This window comes from Homo sapiens (genome assembly GCF_000001405.40).
Source record: "Homo sapiens chromosome 1 unlocalized genomic scaffold, GRCh38.p14 Primary Assembly HSCHR1_CTG6_UNLOCALIZED".
Lineage (NCBI taxonomy): Eukaryota > Metazoa > Chordata > Mammalia > Primates > Hominidae > Homo > Homo sapiens.
In genome coordinates this window covers 4611-32450 of record NT_187366.1, presented here as the reverse complement: position 1 = coordinate 32450, position 27840 = coordinate 4611, and the positions used below count along the sequence as shown (strand labels likewise).

Below are 27840 nucleotides of genomic sequence, written 5' to 3'. Positions count from 1 at the left end.
ACAGGAAGATGGCCAATCTTTCCTAAGCTGCTCACCTTACAAGAAAACGAATCGTACTGCTAAGAATTCAAACTTCAGCAGTCATGGGTAAGTAAGGAAGTCTTATAAATCTATTTTAGCCACCTAACAAGAAACTAGAAATTTAGCAAGTTCTTTCACATTCAGGACAGTTGTGTTGACTAGATCAGAGGCACTGAGACATGAAGAACAGACCCCTAAAAAGGGAAAGTGTTCCTTTCAGTTTGAGGACATCACTGGAATATTAGGGAAGTGGAAACACAGCTGCCCACTCTACAGTATGGGTTGCCTTTGTGTCCGGAATGTGCCTAATGTCCTGATCTCTGTGCCCTTTTCAGGGAGCCTTGGAAGGAGCCCGAATCACTGATGGAATTGGACAGTGCATGGAGATGGTTCAGCAGGACAAGGGTAAGTGCAGGGGCAAGTCCAGGTCATACTGAGAGACAACGAGTGGCGCTGACAGAGACAGACAAAGATAAAATCAAAAGTTTGTGCTTCATCTTCAAAAACTCAAACTAATAACAAACTTGGCCTTATGAGAAATAATAAGTATTTTTCTATTTACATGAGAATTTAATCTCAAAACAGGAATCAGAAACATATTAAGTCCAGGGCATAAAACCTAAACCACTGCTCATATTTATTCTTTCTAAATAGAGCAAAGTGTAAAATCTTCTCCATAAAATGCACATTGTGCTTATGAAAAGGCCAGTCTTAGTGAGAATCATTGGTATTCCATAGAAGAGTGAATTAAACACAGCCAAGGGAAGACCCAAGTCTCATACTTCTCTTGTATATTCCAGAGTTCCAGGGGAATTCCAGGTGATAGAGGTGATCTCCCATACTGTTAAAGCAAGGTTGCAGACACTTGGGAATTTTGGTCCCAGTACTCTAGGAGGTCACACCTCTGTCCTGGAAAATACTACAGGAATGTATACTCTTCCTATGACTCATTCTGGTCATTCTTCCAGCATCACAAAAACCAAAAAAAAAAAAAAGGAAATATGTCCAAATACATGATTTGCTATCCCTCCTCTTCAGGTTTCTTACCTGTTACTTACGGATAATAGCATTACCACAGGATTATGATGAAGATACAATGTCCAAATATAAGCACAGTTTTGAGCAAAATGCCTTGTACGAATTGGTCAATGAACAACTAGTAAATAATTATGTGAATATTTACTGAATTATATGGATCCTATGAATAATTACTGAATAATTCATGTGATTGCTTTTATTGGCAGTGCTGAAAACTCATCCCCGTGTGACCTCAAGTAAGCCATGTAACTCTGTGAACCTGCAGTTTTATCATTTTTAAAATAAAGAAACATGACAGATTTTCATTATGACACAGAATGTCAGGTCTCCCAGATGCCAGAAAATACATTTACTTAAAGCCGTTGATACGTCTTAAAGCGGTTTCCTTACAGTGTCATTGGAGGACAGTGTGGAGTGCAGAGAGACATGCTTTGAAATGGGATTGATCCAGTCCTCCTTCCTTCACTACCACATGAATGCTGGGCAGCCCAGGGTCAACCCACCGCACCCTCAACTCAGGCAAGTCCAGCAGCCAATCTTAGGAGACCTGGGCTACAGAACAGTCTCCCAAGTTCCAGGCTCACAAAACCTAGGTGGGGTGAAAGCTGAGAAAGCGAGGAGGTGGTTCAGGGGATCACTCTTTCCTACTCATTCCTCTCATCTCAAACTCACCTTCTACTGCAACACTGAGGATCACCAACCAACCGTGACCATAACCTTGATCTTGCCATGTTCTGTTAGTGGAATGCAACCCAAAATCAATGGTGTTAGGTCATCTCAACAAAATATATATCAAACCATATTGCATAAGAACCGCTCATGGCCCTGTTCTTTTCAGTATATGGGAAAACAAAATGGAAACAACAAAATAGCATCAGGTTTATGAAACTTCCCAAGATAGATGGTCACACATGTTTTCAGGAGATCTCTATATAAATGATTTTGATCACTTGATACCTTGAAAAGAGCTCTTGTGACACTAGAATGACATCCATAAGTGACAAGTATAAAATGTAGCGCTCAGTGACATCAAAAACCAAATCAACCCACATAGAGGAAGAGCTCTGGACATAGGGATGTCAAACTGGTCTAGAGTGTAATGAAAAGCAAAGATGGTGCCCCAGTGAGAAAAAAGAAATCAACATAACAATGGGAAACAGCAAGAAGAATACTGAGACAGGCAAGACAACATTTTTTACAAATGAATTATTCATTCACTTTCTAGTGGATACAGACAAAACTGCAGAAGACCCAGAGGAAATCAGGGCAGGCTAAAAGTTTGATATCTTACACCTGTGGAAAAGCCTTAAGCTCTGTTTTAACTGAGAGCAGGTGGGGTGACTTCATGACTACCATTAAGAAAATACAACCTGTTGGGAAACTGTTTCTGCCTTGATGATGTTGTACAGACAAGAGATAAACAGTGAGGAATATGCTTAGATGTATTGGGAAAGACACGGGTCTGTGGCATCATCACAAGGGTACACGAATACTGAGAGTGAATGCTGAAGGAATGATCCCCATTGGTGGTGACCCTCAGGTGAGACTAGGGTGCCTGTGTTTCAGCAAAGCCTGGGCAATTGGAATGCAGGGCTCCTAAGATTCCATGACACCCCCACCTTCTAATTCTGTTATTGCAACTGCAGACGGTTACCTGGCACGCTGGCCACAGTCTACCTCACTCTTATCAGAGTCTGAGCTACTGGCAGTGCTTTCAGCTCTGAGTTCAGGCACCTCGAACCTTGTTTTTGTGGTGAAGGAACCTAAAGTGCTGTGGGGAGTGATCACATTTTTCACAACAGTAAGTTAAGAATTTCAGTTACTGACATCCCTCAGTCCTGATGAAACCTATTTGATTTCACCAGTTTTTAACCCATCATATGTTTGGGTTTCTTCTCCCCAGTCCCTGGCTCCACCTCTTCTGCCACAAACGTCAGCATGGTGGTATCAGCCGGCCCTTGGTCCAGCGAGAAGGCAGAGACGAACATTTTAGAAATCAACGAGAAATTGCGCCCCCAGCTGGCAGAGAACAAACAGCAGTTCAGAAACCTCAAAGAGAAATGTTTTGTAACTCAACTGGCCGGCTTCCTGGCCAACCGACAGAAGAAATACAGTAAGATCTATAGGCTCACCATCATGAAAGTGATGAATGATGTCCTGTCTTCTCTCTGAGACACTAAATGCTCTCTCCATCAAAAATAATTTCATCCTTCCTGTACTTCTAGGAAAACAGAAATGGGTATTTTAACATTTTGTTAAAGTTGGAAGACAGAGGTACCAAAGTATTTAGCAACTTTCCATGTTTGCAATCAGGTGGGGGTGGGACTAGAGTTAAACTCACAGTTATTGATTTCTAACACAGACACAGAACGACCTGTTTTCTCCAAGAGGCTCAATCATGTTTTCAAGAATCCTCTCTGTACCATATAAGATCCTGCAGACAAATAACATCTAGTCTGTTGTTCTAAATGTCTGAGACTAGTGAACTTTTATTCAGTTCAAGTTTCTGTTGAGGCCCAACAGGCAAAGCTCTGTTCTAGTGACTCTGAGGGGAACTTGGTGATAGTAGCCAGTACCTGCTCTGAGGGACTTCAAGAGGAGTCTGCTCCTAATAGAACCTGTGCTATCTATAAGTGACACCATCAAGAGCAGGGAGTAGGGGCCGTGCAACGTGGCTCACTCCTGTAATCTCAGCACTTTGGGAGGCTGAGGCGGGCAGAGCACGAGTTGAGGAGTTTGAGACTAGCCTGGGCAACATGGAGAAACCCCATCTCCACTAAAAATACAAAAAGTAGATGGGCGTCGTGGCGGGCAACTGTAATCACCACTAATCGGGAGGCTGAGGCAGAAGAATCCTTTGAACCCAGCAGGCAGATGTTGCAGTGAGCCAAGATTGCACTGTTGCACTCCAGCATGGGTGACAGGGCAAGACTCGTCAAAAAACAAACAAACAAAAAGATAAACAAAAATAAAAATAAAAAGCAGAGAGTACCTTGGTGAGAGTGAAGTCCTGATTCCTGGTGCACAGGCTCTTGTTCCTAAAGAGGAAGAAAGATCACACCCGAGAATGTGTGGAAGCAGCAGTGCAGTGTGCAAAGCAGGGACCCTCAGCCTGTCTCCTGGGCTCCATCCAAGTTGCTTGTCTTGTCTGTCCCTCAGTTTCCTCATCTGTTCAGAGGGTACTACAATAATACCTACCTCTGTAAATTGCTGCAATGAATTACATGAGGTATTTCCTGTCAATCTCCTTGAACATTAATTGGCACAGTGTAAACACTATCTATTAGTTCTTCATTCTGATGTTTCTAAATTAACACAAACTAATCTTATGCTGTTTCTAAATTAACACAACTAATCTAAATCTTGATGCTGCCTGTCATACTAATAAAGTATTTGGGCATATTTCCTTCATGGCCTTATTGTCTTCTGTCTCACACTTTATGCTTCAGATATGATTCTTAAAACCATATCTGAATATATGATTTAAAAATGAAATGTTTTAAAGTCCTTGACATATTTGTCCTTGAAATACCCAGTAAAAGGGAAACCATCAGTCCCATAGTCCTAGGGGCCTTCCCGACTGTACAAGAAATCACTACTTCATGCCCCAGTGCAGTGTTTCAGAGGAGAGGCTGCCAGGCTTGGGAAAGTGGCCCCGCATTCAGAGTCAGACCTCAGGGGCTGTGAGTTCTGAGTCCACTTCGTTGAGGTTGAATCATCTTGTCAACTTCCTTGATGTGCCTTGAGTTTCTCTTTCTTCGTCTTTAAATTTTGGAGGATAAGATGCCAGAAAGTCAGGAGACTGAAGAGTAAAGATGTGGAAATCCCTGCCTAGAGCCTGGTACTGGGGACAGTTTTGTCCTTGGGATGGACCTGGCTCCTGCCCTGTAGGCAGTGACCACAGCAGCATGTCCAGCCTTCCACTGAGGCAGACGTGTCTGTCTTTTCTCAGAGTATGAAGAGTGTAAAGACCTCATAAAATTTATGCTGAGGAATGAGCGACAGTTCAAGGAGGAGAAGCTTGCAGAGCAGCTCAAGCAAGCTGAGGAGCTCAGGTGAGGGGACCCCGTGGGGGGAGGCAGGCGGGTAGGTGTGTAGATCTCTGAAGTACAGCAGCTCGGCGGGGAGAAGTAACAACGAAGCTGGGCCAGGGGAAGGGCAGAAATTGCCATGGCAGGCTCATGACACACAAATATTTATCAGAGAACAAGGATAATAATAAGTTATGTGTTGCAGTTGTTTCTTAGAGCCTTGTTTTCTCTTTTTCAAACAAGTAATTGTTGATGTGAAATTTGCATGACAGAAAATTCACCAAAGGAGTGGGAACCACCCAGCAGCATTCAGTATACTCAAAATGGTGTGCCATCACCACCCCACTTACCCTTAGTGAGAATCACCTTCTGACTGACTGCGTCTTCTCATTCTTTCACTCAATCAATGTTGCCTTCTCGACCCTGTCATTCTTTTCTTCTTTCGTCTTTTCAATTCGCCCCATCTGCACCTGGCCTCATTTCTGTACATGGCTTTGTATCTAGTGGCCGCAAGATGCACTATGTGTATTTTCACATGGAAATGTCCATGGCCAGAGTGAGGAACTGAAAGGATGTCTTTTTGAAACGGAATTAGGAAGACACCTACTTTTGTTTACAGAAGGGAAAGATGAATGGAACATCATCAAGGATCTTGCAGGAGCCCTCTCTGATACAGAGGAAGCCTGTAAACCATTTTCTATTCTTTCTCTTGGCCACAGTCATTCCTTTCAACATGTGCTGACCTTCTGCTTGGAGGTCTCCTTGAGGACATTGTCTCAGAAATCTCTGTTGCAATATTTGAGCGGATCACTCAACCCTTTCCACTCTTAAATTTTCTCTACCATCTCACCTTAGGCAATATAAAGTCCTGGTTCACTCTCAGGAACGGGAGCTGACCCAGTTAAGGGAGAAGTTACGGGAAGGGAGAGATGCCTCCCGCTCATTGAATCAGCATCTCCAGGCCCTCCTCACTCCAGATGAGCCAGACAAGTCCCAGGGGCAGGACCTCCAAGAACAGCTGGCTGAGGGGTGTAGACTGGCACAGCACCTTGTCCAAAAGCTCAGCCCAGGTAAGGTGGCCATAGGCCCTGATGACCCAAAACCCCAGTCTTATGAGAGGCTCCAGACCTCCATACTTTCACAATGACAGTTGTATCAGTGGGGTTATTTTCTGCTACACATATGTGGCCATGACATGACCAGGACTTCCTGGGTAAGAACAGAGATGGGAAACCCATGGGTTTGGAGGTCACAGTATTGCAAGTGTCCCTCCTTCCTTGATGGAAGGTGGTCTTTGGAGCAAGAGGCAGCATCTGTCTAGTTTTAAAGGACAGGAAGGAGGCTGTGATGGGAGGGCGCTTGTTGGAGTGAAAAGAGCTCTGGGCTAAGAATGAAGGTTCCCAGGCTGTCTTTTTGGCAATGTTCTTAGTAACTGTCGGTGAGTGAGTGATTTCTCTTTCCAGAGTTTCTCTCTCTCCATCTGCAAAGGCAAACAAATTGTCTCTTGCAAGGGTCTGAAGCATCCAAATATGGGAACACTTACGAATGCTTTTCAAAATGAGATGCAGCCCCTCTCCGTTTGGTGTTGGAGAAGGCACTTGATGTGGGGGCATTTGGTGGTAGGAAGTGCTTCAGACTGGAGCACTCCCCATGGATAGAATGTCCCTGAATAACACAGCAGAAGCCACATGGAGGGCCTGTGCAGTCTCATGACACATAGAGGACTGTGGGACAAGTTTGTCCTCTCCTAAGAGAAAGAATGAGGTTTGAAATGCGAACTGTGGCAGGACACCAAACCTGTTCCTGGGAATCAGATCTGTGGCAGGATGGGGGCGACAGCTGCCAAAGTCCAGAGAGAGGCTGCACAAGCCTCCAGTGATATGGGAAGCAAAAGGTCTTTTCAATATTTGGCCACATCTTGATGGTGGCCCTCCAGATCGGAAATGCATTGCCCGATGGACCAGGAAACCATGCCAGAGCATTTTGTGAAAGATAAAACATGACAGTTTTCAGTACAATGCTGAACCACACATAGATGTTCATGTCTCTGTGCACATTGGGCTGACTGTGCTTGCAGAATGGGAAGTGGGAAATATCTGAACGAACATTTTGTATTTACAGAAAATGACGAAGATGAGGATGAAGATGTTCAAGTTGAGGAGGCTGAGAAAGTACTGGAATCATCTGCCCCCAGGTAACACTGAATACTCGGGAGCAAGTAATGGGTGGTAACATATAAAAATGTCTAGGAGGCTCACCCTCTCTGGCATCTATGATGGGCCAAAAGCCCGCATTCGCTTGGCCACAGTATGTGAAATTCAACCCAGCTTAGACACAGGGTGCGGCAGCTGTCGTGTTTCTCTATGTGTGCCAAGTGTCATGTCTGTACCATACAGGGATAGCTGAGTCTTCATCCTCCTCAGCTCCTATCTGTCCAGTGCACTGAACACCAGCTGCTCTCTTCCTCTCTGGCTCCCATGGCAGCCATGTTCTGTTGCAGAGAGAAGAGGATTGCCTGTTCCCCCTTAAAGGGAACCTCCATTTTGCTTTCTGGGACCACTGTCTTAATGCCGCCTGTCAAAACCAGCTAGGACTCCCTGGGGTCCAATCCCTCTGTGTTTAATCTTCTGTCATCTCTGTCCCACCTGGCTCATCAGGGAGGTGCAGAAGGCTGAAGAAAGCAAAGTCCCTGAGGACTCACTGGAGGAATGTGCCATCACTTGTTCAAATAGCCACGGCCCTTGTGACTCCAACCAGCCTCACAAGAACATCAACATCACATTTGAGGAAGACAAAGTCAACTCAACTCTGGTTGTAGACAGAGAATCCTCTCATGATGAATGTCAGGATGCTGTAAACATTCTCCCAGGTAGCCTCTATTTTCCTTGTGTCTCATACCTCTGTCTAGGCTATGGAAGATCAATTCTGAGGACAGGCTGTATACGCACATATTGTTTTAGTCAGAAACTAGGATGGAGCTAGGTGCTGTGACTCACACGTATAATCACAGCACTTTGGAAGGCCCAAGTGGGAGGATGACTTGAGTTCAGGAGTTGAAGACCAGCCTGGACAATATGGTGAAACCCATCTTTACAAAGAATACAAAAAATTAGGCAGGTATGGTGCTGCGTGCCTATAGTCCCAACTGCTCAGGAGACTTAGGTGGGAGGATCGGCTGAGACGATCCTCCCACCCTGGTTCGCTCCTCTCAGGCTAGACTCTCTCTCCTTTTCATTGGCTTGTCTCAGCTATTAATAAGAAGTCTCGGCCGGGCGCGGTGGCTCACACATGTAATCCCAGCACTTTGGGAGGCCGGGGCGGGTGGATCACGAGGTCAGGAGATCGAGACCATCCTGGCTAACACGGTGAAACCCCGTCGTTACTAAAAATACAAAAAAAAAAAAAAATTAGCTGGGCGCGGTGTTGGGCGCCTGTAGTCCCAGCTACTCGGGAGGCTGTGGCAGGAGAATGGCATGAACCCAGGAACCGGAGCTTACAGTGAGCCTAGATTGTGCCACTGCACTCCAGCCTGGGAGACAGAGCGAGACTCCATCTCAAAAAAAAAAAAAAAAAATGTCTCTGACCAGGGGTGCTGGCTCACATCTTAATCCCAGCACTTTGGGAGGCCGAGGTGGGCGGATCACCTGAGGTCAGGAGTTCGAAACCAGCCTGTCCAAGATGGCGAAACCCCATCTCTACTAAAAATACAAAAATTAGCTGGCATGTTACTTGGCGCTTGTAATCCCAGATGTTTGGCAGGCTGAGGGATGAGAATCGCTTGAACCCGGGAGGCAGAGGTGGCAGTGAGCTGAGATTGTGCCTCTGCACTGCAGCCTGCGTGACAGAGTGAGACTCCGTCTCAAACAAAAAACAAAAAACCAAAAAAGAAAAAAATTAAAAAAGCAAAATGAAACCTTTTGTGCTACACAGAAACATTGGCCACTCATGGGGTAAAAATCTCAGGGCCAAGCCTTGCTTTATAGAAACTTATAAGCAAGAAAAGTGTAGAAGTGTTTATGTCTTGGTTTCAAGGTGACTGCATAGCTAAGACAAGTTGACTTAAAGGAGATCAAGACTGGAGATGACAAGAGTGAAACCAGGGAAACATCATCTTCAAATAAGTAGACAAGGCTGCCAGTGACATCCCTCAGTCCTGATTAAGCCTATTTGATTTCACCAGTTTTTAACCCATCATGTGTTTGCCTTTCTTCTCCCCAGTCCCTGGCCCCACCTCTTCTGCCACAAACGTCAGCATGGTGGTATCAGCCGGCCCTTTGTCCAGCGAGAAGGCAGAGATGAACATTCTAGAAATGAATGAGAAATTGCGCCCCCAGCTGGCAGAGAAGAAACAGCAGTTCAGAAACCTCAAAGAGAAATGTTTTGTAACTCAACTGGCCTGCTTCCTGGCCAACCAGCAGAACAAATACAGTAAGATCTATAGGCTCACCGTCACGAAAGTGATGAACGAAGTCCTATCTTCTCTCTGAGAAACTAAGTGCTCTCTCCATCTAAAATAATGTCATCCTCCCCATACTTCTAGGAAAACAGAAATGGGTATTTTAACATTTTGTTAAAGTTGGAAGACAGAGGTCCCAAAATATTTAGCAACTTTCCATGTTTGCAATCAGGTGGGGGTGGGACTAGAGTTAAACTGCCATTTATTGATTTCTGACACAGGCACAGAATGACCTGTTTTCTCCAAGAGGCTCAATCATGTTTTCAAGAATCCTCTCTGTACCATGTAAGATCCTGCAGACAAATAACATCTAGTCTGTTGTTCTAAATGTCTGAGACTAGTGAACTTTTATTCAGTTCAAGTTTCTGTTGAGGCCCAACAGGCAAAGCTCTGTTCTAGTGACTCTGAGGGAAACTTGGTGATAGTAGCCAGTACCAGCTCTGAGGGGCTTCAAGAGGAGTCTGCTCCTAATAGAACCTGTGCTATCTATAAGTGACAGCATCAAGAGCAGGGAGTAGGGGCCGTGCATGGTGGCTCACTCCTGTAATCCCAGCCCTTTGGGAGGCTGAGGCGGGCAGATCACGAGGTCAGGAGTTTGAGACCAGCCTGGGAAACATGGAGAAACCCCATCTCCACTAAAAATACAAAAAGTAGATGGGCGTGGTGGCAGGTGACTGTAATCACCCCTGTTCAGGAGGCTGAGGCAGGAGAATCCTTTGAACCCAGGAGGCTGAGGTTGCAGTGAGCCAAGATTTTGCCATTGCACTCCAGCCTGGGTGACAGGGCAAGACTGTTAAAAAAATAATACTAATAATGATAAATAAAAATAAGAATAAGAAGCAGAATGTAGCTTGGTGAGAATGAAGTCCTGCTTCCTGGGGCACAGAGTCTTGTTCCTAAAGAGGAAGAAAGATCGCACCCGAGAATGTGTGGAGATAGCAGTGCAGTGTACAGAGCAGAGACCGTGGGCCTGTCTCCTGGGCTCCATCCAAGTTGCTTGTCTTTTCTGTCCCTGTTTCCTCACCTGTTCAGAGGGTACTACAATAATACCTACCTCTGTAAATTGCTGCAGTGAATTACATGAGCTATTTCTTGTCAATCTCCTAGAACATTTATTGGCACAGAGTAAACACTATCTATTAGTTCTTCATTCTGCTGTTTCTAAATTAACACAAACTTTATTAGCATTTGGGCATATTTCCTTCATGGCCTTATGGTGTTATGTGTCACACTTTATGCTTCAGATATGATTCTTAAAATCATAACAGAAGATATGATTTAAAAATCAAAGATTTTTAAAATCTTTCGCATACTTGTCCTTGAAATTCCCAGTAAAAGGGAAGCCATCAGTCCCATAGTCCTAGGGGCCTTCCCGACTGTACAAGAAATCACTACTTCATGCCCCAGTGCAGTGTTTTAGAGGAGAGGCTGCAAGTCTTGGGAAAGTGGCCCTGCATTCAGAGTCAGACCTCAGGGGCTGTGAATTCTGACTCCACTTCCTTGTGGTTGAATCATCTTGTCAACTTCCTTGATGTGCCCTTGAGGTTCTCTTCATCTCTAAATTTTGGAGGATCAGATGCCAGAAATTCAGGAGACTGAAGAGTAAAGATGTGGAAATCCCTGTCTAGACCCTGGTACTGGGGAGAGTTTTGTCCTTGGGATGGACCTGGCTCCTGCCCTGTAGGCAATGACCACAGCAGCATGTCCAGCCTTCCACTGAGGCAGGCGTGTCTGTCTTTTCTCAGAATATGAAGAGTGCAAAGACCTCATAAAATCTGTGCTGAGGAATGAGCGACAGTTCAAGGAGGAGAAGCTTGCAGAGCAGCTCAAGCAAGCTGAGGAGCTCAGGTGAGGGGACCCCATGGGGGCAGGCAGGGGGACAGGTGTGTAAATCTCTGAAGTACAGCAGCTCAGTGGGGAGACTTAAGAACTAAGCTGGGCCAGGGGAAGGGCAGGAATTGCCATGGCAGGCTCGCTACACACAAATATTTATCAAACAGAGAAGAAGGATAATAAAAATTTATGGGTTGCAGTTGTTTCTCAGAGCCTTGTTTTCTCTTTTTCAAACAAGTAATTGTTGATGTGAAATTTACATAACACAAAATTAACCAAAGGAGTGTGAACCACACAGCAGCATTCAGTATACTCAAAATGGTGTGCCATCACCACCCCACTTACCCTTAGTGAGAATCACCTTCTGACTGACTGCGTCTTCTCATTCTTTCACTCAATCAATGTTGCCTTCTCGACCCTGTCATTCTTTTCTTCTTTCGTCTTTTCAATTCGCCCCATCTGCACCTGGCCTCATTTCTGTACATGGCTTTGTATCTAGTGGCCGCAAGATGCACTATGTGTATTTTCACATGGAAATGTCCATGGCCAGAGTGAGGAACTGAAAGGATGTCTTTTTGAAACGGAATTAGGAAGACACCTACTTTTGTTTACAGAAGGGAAAGATGAATGGAACATCATCGAGGATCTTGCAGGAGCCCTCTCTGATACAGAGGAAGCCTGTAAACCATTTTCTATTCTTTCTGTTGGCCACAGTCATTCCTTTCAACATGTGCTGACCTTCTGCTTGGAGGTCTCCTTGAGGACATTGTCTCAGAAATCTCTGTTGCAATATTTGAGCGGATCACTCAACCCTTTCCACTCTTAAATTTTCTCTACCGTCTCACCTTAGGCAATATAAAGTCCTGGTTCACTCTCAGGAACGGGAGCTGACCCAGTTAAGGGAGAAGTTACGGGAAGGGAGAGATGCCTCCCGCTCATTGAATCAGCATCTCCAGGCCCTCCTCACTCCGGATGAGCCAGACAAGTCCCAGGGGCAGGACCTCCAAGAACAGCTGGCTGAGGGGTGTAGACTGGCACAGCAACTTTTCCAAAAGCTCAGCCCAGGTAAGGTGGCCATAGGCCCTGATGACCCAAAACCCCAGTCTTATGAGAGGCTCCAGACCTCCATACTTTCACAATGACAGTTGTATCAGTGGGGTTATTTTCTGCTACACATATGTGGCCATGACATGACCAGGAGTTCCTGGGTAAGAACGGAGTTGGGAAACCCATGGGGTTGGAGGTCACAGTATTGCAAGTTCCCCTCCTCCCTTGATGGAAGGTGGTCTTTGGAGTAAGAGGCAGCATCTGTCTAGTTTTAAAGGACAGGAAGGAGGCTGCGATAGGAGCAGGCTTGTTAGAGTGAAAAGAGCTCTGGACTAAGAATGAAGGTTCCCAGGCTGTCTTTTCGGCAATGTTCTTAGTAACTGTCAGTGAGTGAATGACTTGTCCTTCCTGAGTTTCTCTCTCTCCATGGCAAATTGTCTCTTGCAAGGGTCTGAAGCATTCAAATGTGGGAACACTTAAAACTGCTTTCCAAAATGAGATGAAGCCCCTCGCCGTGTGATGTTGGAGAAGGCACTTTATGTGGTGGTGTTTCGTGGTAGGAAGTGCTTCAGACTGGAGCACTCCCCATGGATAGAATGTCCCTGAATAACACAGCAGAAGCCACTTGGAGGCTTGAAATCTTCTGATGCATAGAGGACTGTGGGACAAGTTTGTCTGCTTCTAAGAGAAAGAATTAGGTTTGAAATGCAAACTGTGACAGGACACCAAGCCTGTGCCTGGGAATCAGATCTGGCAGGATGGGGGAGACAGCTGCCAAAGTCCAGAGAGAGGCTGCACAAGCCTCCAGTGATATGGGAAGCAAAAGGTCTTTTCAATATTTGGCCACATCTTGATGGTGGCCCTCCAGATCAGAAATGCATTGCCTGATGGATCAGGAAACCATGCCAGGGCATTCTGTTAAAGATAAAACATGAGAGTTTTCAGTTGAACGGTGACCCATGCCTAGATGTTCATGTCTCTGTTGCACATTGGGCTGACTGTGCTTGCAGACTGTGAAGTGGTAAATATCTGAACGAACACTTCTGTATTTACAGAAAATGACAATGATCACGATGAAGATGTTCAAGTTGAGGTGGCTGAGAAAGTGCAGAAATCGTCTGCCCCCAGGTAACACTGAATACTCAGGAACAATTAATGGATGGTAACATATGAAGAATATCTAGGAGGTACACCCTCTCTGGCATCTATGATGGGCCAAAAACCCACATTCGCTTGGCCACAGTATGTGAAATATAACCCAGCTTAGACACAGGGTGCGGCAGCTGTCATGTTTCTCTATGTGTGCCGAGTGTCATGTCTGCACCGTACAGGGATAGCTGAGTCTTCATCCTCCTCAGCTCCTATCTGTCCAGTGCAATGAACACCAGCTGCTCTCTTCCTCTCTGGTTCCCATGGCAGCCATGCTCTGTTGCAGAGAGAACAGGATTGCATGTTCCCTCTTAATGGGAACCTCCATTTTGCTTTCTGGGACCACTCTCTTAATGCCGCCTGTCAAAACCAGCTAGGACTCCATGGGGTCCAATCCCTCTGTGTTTAATCTTCTGTCATCTCTGTCCCACCTGGCTCATCAGGGAGATGCAGAAGGCTGAAGAAAAGGAAGTCCCTGAGGACTCACTGGAGGAATGTGCCATCACTTGTTCAAATAGCCATGGCCCTTATGACTCCAACCAGCCACATAGGAAAACCAAAATCACATTTGAGGAAGACAAAGTCGACTCAACTCTCATTGGCTCATCCTCTCATGTTGAATGGGAGGATGCTGTACACATTATCCCAGGTAGCCTCTGTTTTCCTTGTGTCTCATACCTCTCTCTAGGCTGAGGAAGATAAACTCTGAAGACAGGCTCTATAAACACAAATTCATTTGAATAAAAAACTATGATGGGTTTCTAAACAGATATCAGGGAGTTTTTTTGTCCTTCTCAGCTAATGTCATGCCTTTGTCTGCCAGTCCCCAGTATCAAGTTACTCGACCCCAGGCAAGTGTGACAATCTCATAGTCACCTGAGTGCAGGAGGTGCACAGGCAGTATCTGTCAGGCCTCCTAGCTTCGATTCAGTATCTCTTGTCATCTGTGATTAAGTCATCTGTCCCTGAACAATGTCCATGGAGTTTCTATGCCTGTTTCAGGAAGCTGGCAGCCTTGCCTTTGTATTTGGAAATATTGTTCCCCAGGCTTCACTGCTCTCAGCTTTCATCTGGATCTCCTTTAAGTCAGCTTGCTTAGCTGCACAGTCACCCTGAAATCAGGACGGAAACTTTTCTTCTTTACTTTGCTGATATATTTCCATAAAGCAAGGCTGGACCCTGGTTCTCCACCCTGTCAATGCAATGGCTGATCCAATGTTTCTTTGTAGCATCGTGGATTTTTTTTTTTTTTTTTTTTTTTTTTTTTTTTTTTTTTTTTTTGCGATGGAGTCTTGCTCTGTCACCCAGGCTAGAGTGCAGTTGCACCATCTTGGCTTGGTGCAACCTCTGCCTCCCAGATTCAAGTGATTCTCCTGCCTCAGCCTCCTGAGTTGCTGGGACCACAGGTGCACAACATCACATCTGGCTAATTTTTGTATTTTTAGTAGAGACAGGGTTTCCCCATATTGGCCAGGGTAGTCCTGAACTCATGACCTCAAATGATTCACCTGTCTTGGCCTCCCAAATCACAGATTCTTTTTAAAGGAAGAGTTGTTCAAATTTATCTATCAGTCGTGTTTCATGTATAGATGCCTCTAAACATTTAATGTCCATGTTATCTGGTGATATAAGTCCGTATTGCAGCAACACTCTTAGAAAATGGACCAATTTTTGGAGATTTTTTTGGGGAAAAAATTTTGTTTAACTTTGACTCAGGCAGGGAATATGGCATTATGGTGTACACGTAGAGGGAGATTTTGGCCTGTGGGTCTGGAAAGCAGGGTCATCTAATTCTCACCAAAGTTAATCTAGGGCACCCTAGAATATTCCTGTCAGAATCCTTATTCTTGCACTGAGAATAGTTATGTCCTTGTGCTATGACTGGACAGTGATTTGGTCATATGTGAAGTATGAATTGCTTAATGTGACCTGCTTCTCTGAATTTATTTACAGAAAATGAAAGTGATGATGAGGAAGAGGAAGAAAAAGGGCCAGTGTCTCCCAGGTAATGTTGTGGAATTGTTGGCTGTTAATTCAGTAGTGACATCTGGAGATTGTAGATTTAGGGAAAATGAGGAAGTGATGAATAGAACTATTTCTTCCATTCACCCAGCTACAAATTGTGCTGATTTACAATGTTGTATGTTATTTGTGGCACTTGTATTGGTTTTAATTTCATAGTCCTCTCAAGATAGGAACTTGCCATCAGATGAGCCAGGTGAACTAGCCAAACAGGGTTTTCTTGTTGATCTTTTCAAAAAACCAGCCCTGGATTCATTGATTTTTTGAAGGGTTTTTTGTGTCTCTATCTCCTTTAGTTCTGCTCTGATCTTAGTTACTTCTTGTCTTCTGCTAGCTTTTGAATTTGTTTGCTTTGCTTCTCTAGTTATTTTAATTGTGATGTTAGGGTGTCAATTTTAGATCTTTTCTGCTTTCTCTTGTGGGCATTTAGTGCTATAATTTTCCCTCTACACATTGCTTTAAATGTGTCCCAGAGATTCTGGTATGTTGTGTCTTTGTTCTCATTGGTTTCAAAGAACATCTTTATTTCTGCCTTCATTTTGTTATTTTCCCAGTAGTCATTCAGGAGCAGGTTGTTCAGTTTCCATGTAGTTGTGCGGTTTTGAGTGAGTTTCTTAATCCTGAGTTCTAATTTGATTGCACTGTGGTCTGACAGTTTGTTGTGGTTTCCATTCTTTTACATTTGCTGATGAGTGCTTTACCTCCAACTATGTGGTCAATTTTGGAATAAGTGTGATGTGGTGCTGAGAAGAATGTATATTCTGTTGATTTGGGGTGGAGAGTTCTGTAGATGTCTTTTAGGTCTGCTTGGTGGAGAGCTGAGTTCAAGTCCTGGATATCCTTGTAAAGCTTCTGTCTCATTGATCTGTCTAATATTGACAGTGGGGTGTTAAAGTCTCCCATTATGATTGTGTGGAGTCTAAATCTCTTTGTAGGTCTCTCAGGACTTGCTTTATGAATCTGGGTGCTCCCGTATAGGGTGCATATATATTTAGGATAGTTAACTCTTCTTGTTGAATTGATCCCTTTACCATTATGTAGTGGCCTTCTTTGTCTCCTTTGATCTTTGTTGGTTTAAAGTCTGTTTTATCAGAGACTAGGATTGCAACCCCTGCATTTTTTTGCTTTCCATTTGCTTGGTAGATCTTCCTCCATCCCTTTATTTTGAGCCTATGTGTGTCTCTGCATGTGAGATGGGTTTCCTGAGTACAGCACACTGATGGGTCTTGACTCTTTGTCCAATTTGCCATTCTGTGTTTTTTAACTGGGGCATTTAGCCCATTTACATTTAAGGTTAATATTGTTATGTGTGAATTTGAGCCTGTCGTTATGATGTTAGCTGGTTATTTCGCCCGTTAGTTGATGCAGTTTCTTCCTAGCGTCAATGGTCTTTACAGTTTGGCATGTTTTTGCAGTGGCTGGTACCGGTTGTTCCTTTCCATGTTTAGTGTTTCCTTTAGGAGCTCTTGTAAGGCAGGCCTGGTGGTGACAAAATCTCTCAGCATTTGCTTCTCTGTAAAGGATTTATTTCTCCTTCACTTATGAAGCTTTGTTTGGCTGGATATGAAATTCTGGATTGAAAATTCTTTTCTTTAAGAATGTTGAAGATGCTGGAGAGGATGTGGAGAAATAGGAACACTTTTACACTGTTGGTGGGAGTGTAAACTAGTTCAACGATTGTGGAAGGCAGTGTGGCAATTCCTCAGGGATCTAGAACTAGAAATAGCATTTGACCCAGCCATCCCATTACTGGGTGTATACCCAAAGGATTATAAATCATGCTGCTGTAAAGACACATGCACACATATGTTTATTGCGGCACTATTCACAATAGCAAAGACTTGGAACCAAGCCAAATATCCAGCAATGATAGACTGGATTAAGAAAATGTGGCACGTGTACACCATGGAATACTATGCAGCTATAAAAAATGATGAGTTCATGTCCTTTGTAGGGGCATGGATGAAGCTGGAAACCATCATTCTCAGCAAACTATCGCAAGGACAAAAAGCCAAGTACCGCATGTTCTTACTCACAGGTGGGAATTGAACAATGAGAACACATGGACACAGGAAGGGGAACATCACACACTGGGGCCTGTTGTAGGGTGTGGGGAGGGAGGAGGGGTAGCATTAGGAGATATACCTAATGTTAAATGATGAGTTAATGGGTGAAGCACACCAATGTGGACATGTATACATATGTAACTAACCTGCACGTTGTGCACATGTACCCTAAGACTTAAAGTATTAAAAAATATATATACATATATATACATACACACAAAAAATAATAAAGGAAAACTATACATATGGAAAAAAAAAAAGAATGTTGAATATTGCTCCCACTCTCTTCTGGCTTGTAGGGTTTGTGCCAAGAGATCTGCTGCTAGTCTGATGGGCTTCCCTTTGTGGGTAATCCGACCTTTCTCTCTGGCTGCACTTAGCATTTTTTCCTTCATTTCAACCTTGGTGAATCTGACAATTATGTGTTTTGGGGTTGCTCTTCTCGAGGAGTATCTTTATGGTGTTCTCTGTGTTTCCTGAATTTGAATGTTGGCCTTCCTTACAAGGTTGGGGAAGTCCTCCTGGATAATATCCTGAAGAATGTTTCCCAGCTTGGTTCCATTCTCCCCGTCACTTTCAGTGCACCAATCAAACGTAGATTTGGTCTTTCCACATAGTCCCATATTTATTGGAGGCTTGTTCATTTCTTTTTACTCTTTTTTCTCTAAACTTCTCTTCTCGCTTCATTTCACTAATTTGATCTTGAATCACTGATACCGTTTCTTGCACTTGATCGAATTGGCTACTGAAGCTTGTGCATGCATCACGTAGTTCTCGTGCCATGGTTTTCAGCTCCATCAGGTCATTTAAGGTCTTCTCTACACTGTTCATTCTGGTTGGCCATTCGTCTAATCTTTTTTCAAGGTTTTTAGCTTCCTTGCGATGAGTTCGCACATCCTCCTTTAGCTCAGAGAAGTTTGTTATTACCGACTTTCTGAAGCCTACTTCTGTCAGCTCATCAAAGTCATTCTCCATCCTGCTTTGTTCCATTGCTGGCGAGGAGCTGTGATCCTTTGGAGGAGAAGGGATGTCAGGTTTTTGGAATTTTCAGCTTTTGTGCTCTGGTTTCTCCCCACCTTTGTGGTTTTATCTACCCTTGGTCTTTGATGATGGCGACCTACAGATGGGGTTTTGGGGTGGATGTCTTTTTTGTTGATGTTGATGCTATTCCTTTCTGTGTGTTAGTTTTCCTTCTAACAATCAGGTCCCTCAGCTTCAGGTCTGTTGGAGTTTGCTGGAAGTCCACTCCAGACCCTCAAACAGGGATTTCTTGGTGTTGCCTATTCTCTCCCATGTGTTTAAATCCAGGGAGAGATGTATATATGCTTTCTTCCTATTCGTTGGTAGTATGTTGGCTAGTATTTTTGCAAGAAAAGAAATTGAAAAGGTAAATATATTATATCAAAATATTGGGAAAATGGGGCCCTTAATACACAAGATCTGTGTCTGCACTGCGTCAAGAACTCTCTTCACTTGAATGCTGCATGTAAAATTCAACCCAATTTATGCAAAGTAGTTGAAGCCCTGTGTCAGTTCTCTGTGCTGCAAGTCATGATGGTAGTTTACAGGGAGAGTCTGGGTGCCCTGAGTTGGCTCATCTGTGGCAAATGTACTGAGCACATGCTGCCCATTTTTGCTCTGTCCCCAGAGCAGTCACCCTCCACCCTGTATTTAGAAGGCTAGTTTTATTTCTCTTGAAGGAAAAATGCCTTTGGTTTCTGTGACCACTCCATTCTGTCTCCCATCAGATCATCTGGGAGGTTTTGTTGTCTAATGTCTGTTGGTTAAATCTTCTATCATCCCTGTCCTGCCTGGCTCATCAGGAATCTGCAGGAGTCTGAAGAGGAGGAAGTCCCCCAGGAGTCCTGGGATGAAGGTTATTCGACTCTCTCAATTCCTCCTGAAATGTTGGCCTCGTACCAGTCTTACAGCGGCACATTTCACTCATTAGAGGAACAGCAAGTCTGCATGGCTGTTGACATAGGCGGTGAGTACTCCATTGTGAAGGTGATAAAGCTCCAGTTCATGGCCCAGGTAGACCCCATAATCTTTGGGCCTTGTGCCCCTTGTTGGGCTGAGATTTGCCATCACTGTGGGCTGAACCTATATATCAATGTAGATTTCAATCACTCTGGAGTCGAGTCTGAAGCACAGGCATGGGGTGGGTGAGTGAGCTTTGCTCTCTTCCTAGTCTCAGGCCATGCCCGTGCCAACCTGGACTGACTGTCACGACATTGAACTCAAGGCAGGTGTGGCAAGCTCACACCAAACTATGCAGCACATGACCAGGAGTTGTCTGTCAGATCAGCTCATCTGAATTAAATGTCTCTTGCCAGCTACAAAATTCCTTATGAGTTTTGTTCCCAAAGCATGTCTGTGTGGTTCTTTACCTGCCCAAGGCAAGTGTCACCCTTGTCTACCTCTCAGTGAAAGATGTGGCCCAGGTTTCACTGAATTTATTCCCATTTTCTGTGTCTTCTAAGTTCGCTTGCTTTAGCTCATCTGTCCGTCATGTTCCTGGTATATTTTCTAGATAAATGGCTGACTTTTCACCCACAAAAGCCATAATAGCTGATGCTTCTGTGTAGAACCAAGTTTCATTTTGACTCAAGAGCTGGTACATTGCACCCCTTCATCAAATCTCTGTGTCCACAATCTCATAAACTATCAAATTCTGGGTATTTGATGAGAGAAAGCTTAATATTGAAGTATCTCTCCTATGAGGTGTTAGAACTATTTGCCTACAATTTATTGGGGAAAAAGTTGCTCATTTGTGTACACAAACCTAGGACAGAGCACATAGGGAAGATAACATTCCAAAACAGGGTAATTTTGCCCAAGGCTCATGAAAGAACCCAAGCCAGTTTTCTCAAGACTTGACCTCAGGCCTACTGGAATATTTCTCTCAAAGTCTCCTGTTCTCACACTGACCAGACTGATGTACCTGTGTTAGGATTGGACAGAGGAATGTTTCTGTGTGCAAGGAAGAACTGCTTAATGTAAGAGGCCCCATCTGAATTTATTTGCAGGACATCGGTGGGATCAAGTGAAAAAGGAGGACCAAGAGGCAACAGGTCCCAGGTGAGTCTGAGAAATTGTGGACAGTTAATTTGATGTTGACACCTGGAGATGCCAAGTCCAGGGAAAACAGTACATGCTGAAAATAATGATTTTGTCTTGTCAGACAAGTCTAAATTATGCCTACTACATTGCTTTTTGGTTCTCATTAGAGTAAATGTTTAGGTTTCCATTTCTTCCTACCCTTATCATTTACTAACCTAGTGAAGGTTGACCATACCTCAAAAGCTGTATTCTCATGGTGGCTGCAGGGAAACTTGAGCACATTTTATGCAAAATTATTGAGGCCATGCTTCTCATGATCACTGTTCACTGTGTGTCCTGAGAGCTCAAATAGAGAATGACCGTTGACTCCCTCATCAGTGTGTCACCTGGCCAATTCACTGAGCTCACTCTGTGTGTGTGTGTGTGTGTGTGTGTGTGTGTGTGTGTGTGTGTCTTTCTCTTTCATCCTTTTCTACCTGGCCCTAGTCAATCCCAACATAAAGGCAATAATTTGTTACCTCATTAATGGATCTGTCCTTTTTCTTTTCAAACTCTTCCTTATGTTAGCCATGAAATCTAGCTGGGGCTGTGTGGTTTCTGATTCCCCCTGGCTTATTCTTTACTTTTTCCCACTGTTCCAGGCTCAGCAGGGAGCTGCTGGATGAGAAAGGGCCTGAAGTCTTGCAGGACTCACTGGATAGATGTTATTCAACTCCTTCAGGTTATCTTGAACTGACTGACTCATGCCAGCCCTACAGAAGTGCCTTTTACATATTGGAGCAACAGCGTGTTGGCTGGGCTCTTGACATGGATGGTGAGTACCTTTCTATGAAGGTGATAAGGATCCACTGAGTCTTCTGGTTAGGGTCATATTCCTACTGCAAATGGCCCTTACTGAGCTGAGAGATGTCATTGCCACAGGGAGGACCTATAGGCACATGTAGGTTGAATGAAACTCTAGTTCCACTTGGAAGCCCAGGCAAGGGATGGGTCAGTGAGCAGGGCTCTCTTCCTAGTCTCAGGCCATGCCTGTGGCACCCTAATCCTACTCTCAAGATGTTGGATCTGGGCAGATGTGACAAATTCACACAACTCTGATTTTGTCTCAATTTTGTAGATCTTGTAGATTTCATCCTTCACTCTAATTTCAGCGTCTAAAATCCTCGCTACCATGAAGAATCTGAGTATTTGATGAGACAGGGCTGAATATTGCAGTTTTTCTCCCAGCAACCATTTGGGGGCATTTGCTTTAAATCGATTGGAAAAATATGGCATAACCATTTGCACAAACTTGGGACAAATGATCTTGGGATAACGATCTACCAGAATAGGGAATTTTACCCACAGTTTCTGGGACAAAAACCCAGGAATCTCTATCATGATCAGCCTTCAGGCCTCCTGAAGAAGATCTCTCACAGTGTCCTATTCTCATGCTGAGGAGCCTGAAGTCCCTGCGTGAGGATTAGACAGTGGATTGTTATGTGTGTAGGAGAACCAGCTTAATATGTCTGTCCATGTCTGAACTTATTGCAGAAATTGAAAAGTACCAAGAAGTGGAAGAAGACCAAGACCCATCATGCCCCAGGTAACTTTGAGCAATTATGGATGCTTAATTCTGTGTTGACACCTGGAGATGCCAGGTCCAGGGAAAACAAGAGTATGTTCAATTTCATGTTTTCAACGAAGGTTGAATTACTCCTACTGACATTGCTGTTGGTTTTCCTTGCAGTAGATGTTTAGGTTTCCATTTCTTCCTCCCCTTATCATTTACTAACTTACTGTAGGTTGACCATACCTCAAAGGCTGTATGGCAACTGCATGGAATCTTAAGCAAGTTTATGGAAAATTATTGAGCCCACTCTTTTCATGATCACTGTTCTCTGTGTGTCCCGAGGGCACTAACTCAGAGTGTCCTTTGACCCCTTCATCAGTGTGTCACCCGGCCAATTCGCTGAGCTCACTTTCTCCTCTGTCTCTCTCTCCCTCTCCCTCTCCCTGTCTTTCTCTTTCATTCTTTTCTACCTGGCCCTGGTCTATCCCAACATAAAGGCAATAATTCATTACCTCATTAATGGATCTGTCCTTTTTCTGTTTAAACAGTTCCTTATGTTAGCCATGAAATGTAGCTGGGGCTGTGTGGTTTCTGATTCCCCCTGGCTTATTCTTTACTTTTTCCTACTTTTCCAGGCTCAGCAGGGAGCTGCTGGATGAGAAAGAGCCTGAAGTCTTGCAGGACTCCCTGGATAGATGTTATTCGACTCCTTCAGGTTATCTTGAACTGCCTGACTTAGGCCAGCCCTACAGAAGTGCTGTTTACTCATTGGAGGAACAGTACCTTGGCTTGGCTCTTGACGTGGACAGTGAGTACCTTACTATGAAGGTGATAAGCCTCCACCTGGTCTTCCAGATAGGGGTGATATTCCTGTTCCCAGTGGCCCTTACTGACCCGAGAGATGTCATTGCCGCAGGCAGGACCTATGGGCGCATATAGGTTGTAATGAAACTGTAGTCTCCGCTGGAAGCCTAGACATGAAATGGGTCAGTGAGCAAGGCTCTATTCCTAGTCTCCAGCCATGCCTGTGGCAACCTGAGCCCGCTCTCAGCACATTGGACCCAGGCAGATGTAAAAAATTCACAGAACTATGATTTGGACTCAAGGGTTTGTAGATTTCCTCCCTCATTCTAATTTCAGTGTCTAAAATTCTTGCATCCATGAACGAGCTGGGCATTTGATGAGACAGGGCTGAATACTGCAGTTTTCCTCCTAGAAATCATCTGGGGCATTGTCTTTGAACTGATGGGAACAATCAGGCATAACTGTTTGCACAAACTTGGGATAAATGATTTTGGGATAACGATCTACCAGAATAGGGATATTTCACCCTTGGTTCTGAGATGCAAACCAAAGAATATCATGACCAGCTTTCAGGCCTCCTGAAGTATATCTCTCACATTGTCCTGTTCTCTTGCTGAGGAGCCTGAGATCCCTGTGTGGGGATTAGACAGTGGACTGTTACGGGTGTAGGTGAATTGGCTTATTTTGTCTGTCCCTGTCTGAATGTATTGCAGGAATTAAAAAGGACCAGGAAGAGGAAGAAGACCAAGGCCCACCATGCCCCAGGTAACTGAGCAATTGTGAACAGCTACTTCTGTGTTGACATCTGGAGACTCCTGGTTCAGGGAAAACAGGGCGGGCTGACATTATCGATTACATCTTTTCAACCGAGCCTGAATTATTCCTACTAACATTGCTGTTGGTTTTCATTGCAGTAGATATTTAGGTTTCCATTTCTTCCTCCCCTTATCATTTACTAACCTACTGTAGGTGGACCAGACTTCAAAAACTGTATTCTCATGGCGACTGCATGGAAACTTGAGCACATTTTATGGAAAATTATTGAGCACAGTCCTTTCCTGATCACTGTATGCTGTGTGTCCTGAGGGCACTAACTCAGAGTGTCCTGTTACTCCCTCATCAGTGTGTCACCTGGACAATTCACTGAGCTCATTCTCTGTGTGTGTGTGTGTGTGTGTGTGTGTGTGTGTCTTTCTCTTTCATTCTTTTCCATTTGGCCCTGTTCTGTCCCAACATGAAAGCAATAATTTGTTACCTCATTAATGGATCTCTCCTTTTACTTTTTCAACCACTTCCTTATGCTACCCATGAAACCTAGTTGGGGCTCTGTTGTGTCTGATTTCCCCTGGCTTATTCTTTACTTTTTCCTCCTTTTCCAGGCTCAGCAGGGAGCTGCTGGAGGCAGTAGAGCCTGAAGTCTTGCAGGACTCACTGGATAGATGTTATTCAACTCCTTCCAGTTGTCTTGAACAGCCTGACTCCTGCCTGCCCTATGGAAGTTCCTTTTATGCATTGGAGGAAAAACATGTTGGCTTTTCTCTTGACGTGGGAGGTGAGTACCTTTCTATGAAGGTGATAAGGATCCACTGAGTCTTCCATATAAAGATCATATTCCTGCTCCAAGTGGCCATTACTGAGCTGAGAGATGTCATTGCTGCAGTGAGGACCTGTAGGCACATGTAGGTTGAATGAAACTCTAGTTCTAACTGGAAGCCCAGACATGGGATGGGTCAGTGAGCATGGCTCTCTTCCTAGTCTCAGGCCATGCCTGTGGCACTCTGATTCTACTCTCATGACATTGGACCTGGGCAGATGTGACAAATTCAGAGAACTATGATTTTGACTCAAGGGTTTGTAGATTTCCTTTTTCACTCTAATTTCAGTGTCTAAAGTCCTCACAACCATGAACAATCTGAGTATTTGATGAGACAGGGCTAAATATTGCAGTTTTTCTCCTAGAAATCATTTGAGGGTATTTGCTTTAAATTGATTGGAAAAATATGGCATAACTGTTTGCACAAACTCGGGACAAATGATATTGGGATAACGATCTACTAGAATAGGGACATTTTACCCACAGTTTCTGGGAGAAAAACCGAGGAATTTCTATCATGACCAGCCTTCAGGCCTCCTGAAATATATCTCTCACAGTCTCCTATTCTTATGCTGAGGAGCCTGAGGTCCCTGTGTGAGGGTTAGACAGTGGATTGTTATGTGTGTAGGGGAATCAGCTTAATGTGTCTGTCCATGTCTGAATTTATTGCAGAAATTGAAAAGAAGGGGAAGGGGAAGAAAAGAAGGGGAAGAAGATCAACGAAGAAAAGAAGGAGAAGGGGAAGAAAAGAAGGGGAAGAAGATCAAAACCCACCATGCCCCAGGTAACTTTCAGCAATTGTGGATGCTTAATTCTGTGTTAACACCTGGAGGCAACAGATTGAGGGAAACCAGAGTGTGTTTGATTTCATGTTTTCAACGAAGGCTGAATTACTCCTACTGTCATTGCTGTTGGTTTTCATTGCAGTAGATGTTTAGGTTTCCATTTCTTCCTCCCCTTATCATTTACTAACGTACCATAGGATGACCATACTTCAAAAGCTGTACTCTCATGGCCACTGCATCGAATTTTGAGCATATTTTATGGAAAACTATTGAGCTCACTCTTTTCATGATCGCAGTGTGCTGTGTGTCATGAGGGCACTAACTCAGAGTGTCCTTTTACTCCCTTACCAGTATGTCACCTGGCCAATTCACTAGCTCACTTTCTCTCTGTCTCTGTCTCTGTCTCTGTCTCTCTGTCTTTCTCTTTCATTGTTTTCTACCTGGCCCTTTTCTATCCCAACATAAAGGCAATAATTTTTTTTTTTTACCTCATTAATGGATCTAATGGATCTATCCTTTTCTTTTCTTACCACTTCCTTACGTTACTTCTGAAATCTAGTGGGGCTCTGTGGTGTCTGATTTTCCCTGGCTGCTTCTTTAGTTTTGTCTGCTTTTCCAGGCTCAGCGGCATGCTGATGGAAGTGGAAGAGCCTGAAGTCTTGCAGGACTCACTGGATAGATGTTATTCGACTCCGTCAATGTACTTTGAACTACCTGACTCATTCCAGCACTACAGAAGTGTGTTTTACTCATTTGAGGAACAGCACATCAGCTTCGCCCTTGACGTGGACAATAGGTTTCTTACTTTGATGGGAACAAGTCTCCACCTGGTCTTCCAGATGGGAGTCATATTCCCACAGTAAGCAGCCCTTACTAAGCCGAGAGATGTCATTCCTGCAGGCAGGACCTATAGGCACGTGAAGATTTGAATGAAACTATAGTTCCATTTGGAAGCCCAGACATAGGATGGGTCAGTGGGCATGGCTCTATTCCTATTCTCAGACCATGCCAGTGGCAACCTGTGCTCAGTCTGAAGACAATGGACCCAAGTTAGGTGTGACACGTTCACATAACTGTGCAGCACATGCCGGGAGTGATCAGTCAGACATTTTAATTTGAACCACTTATCTCTGGGTAGCTACAAAGTTCCTCAGGGATTTCATTTTGCAGTCATGTCTCTGAGCTTCTATACCTGCTCAAGGTCAGTGTCATCTTTGTGTTTAGCTCATCCAAAGGTGTTACCCTGGTTTCAATGAACCTAACCTCATTCTTTGTATCTTCAGTGTTGAATTGTTTTAGCTGATCCATCTTTAACACAGGAGGGATCCTTGGCTGAGGATTGTATTTCAGAACCACCAACTGCTCTTGACAATTGTTAACCCGCTAGGCTCCTTTGGTTAGAGAAGCCACAGTCCTTCAGCCTCCAATTGGTGTCAGTACTTAGGAAGACCACAGCTAGATGGACAAACAGCATTGGGAGGCCTTAGCCCTGCTCCTCTCGATTCCATCCTGTAGAGAACAGGAGTCAGGAGCCGCTGGCAGGAGACAGCATGTCACCCAGGACTCTGCCGGTGCAGAATATGAACAACGCCATGTTCTTGCAGAAAACGCTTAGCCTGAGTTTCATAGGAGGTAATTACCAGACAACTGCAGAATGTAGAACACTGAGCAGGACAACTGACCTGTCTCCTTCACATAGTCCATATCACCACAAATCACACAACAAAAAGGAGAAGAGATATTTTGGGTTCAAAAAAAGTAAAAAGATAATATAGCTGCATTTCTTTAGTTATTTTGAACCCCAAATATTTCCTCATCTTTTTGTTGTTGTCATTGATGGTGGTGACATGGACTTGTTTATAGAGGACAGGTCAGCTCTCTGGCTCAATGATCTACATTCTGAAGTTGTCTGAAAATGTCTTCATGATTAAATTCAGCCTAAACGTTTTGCCGGGAACACTGCAGAGACAATGCTGTGAGTTTCCAACCTTAGCCCATCTGCGGGCAGAGAAGGTCTAGTTTGTCCATCAGCATTATCATGATATCAGGACTGGTTACTTGGTTAAGGAGGGGTCTAGGAGATCTGTCCCTTTTAGAGACACCTTACTTATAATGAAGTATTTGGGAGGGTGGTTTTCAAAATTAGAAATGTCCTGTATTCCAATGATCATCCTGTAAACATTTTATCATTTATTAATCATCCCTGCCTGTGTCTATTATTATATTCATATCTCTACGCTGGAAACTTTCTGCCTCAATGTTTACTGTGCCTTTGTTTTTGCTAGTGTGTGTTGTTGAAAAAAAAAACATTCTCTGCCTGAGTTTTAATTTTTGTCCAAAGTTATTTTAATCTATACAATTAAAAGCTTTTGCCTATCA

At 44.1% G+C, this 27840-nt stretch overlaps 1 protein-coding gene across 1 annotated transcript; it reads left to right on the top strand.

Moving 5' to 3' along the window:
• LOC124905564 (neuroblastoma breakpoint family member 1-like) lies at window positions 1-27840 on the top strand (the record flags this gene model as incomplete). The annotated part of the gene is given in 26 exon segments (NM_001406552.1): window positions 1-87; window positions 357-426; window positions 1266-1578; window positions 2706-2860; window positions 2963-3170; window positions 3173-3176; window positions 3179-3191; window positions 3194-3201; window positions 5014-5114; window positions 5946-6160; window positions 7212-7284; window positions 7748-7959; window positions 9309-9518; window positions 11292-11394; window positions 12230-12444; window positions 13482-13554; window positions 14019-14224; window positions 15529-15580; window positions 19487-19650; window positions 20693-20744; window positions 21368-21548; window positions 22262-22311; window positions 22914-23085; window positions 23801-23847; window positions 24462-24633; window positions 26082-27840. Coding segments are annotated over 22 exon segments (2739 nt in total), but the record flags the coding sequence as incomplete, so codon positions are not given.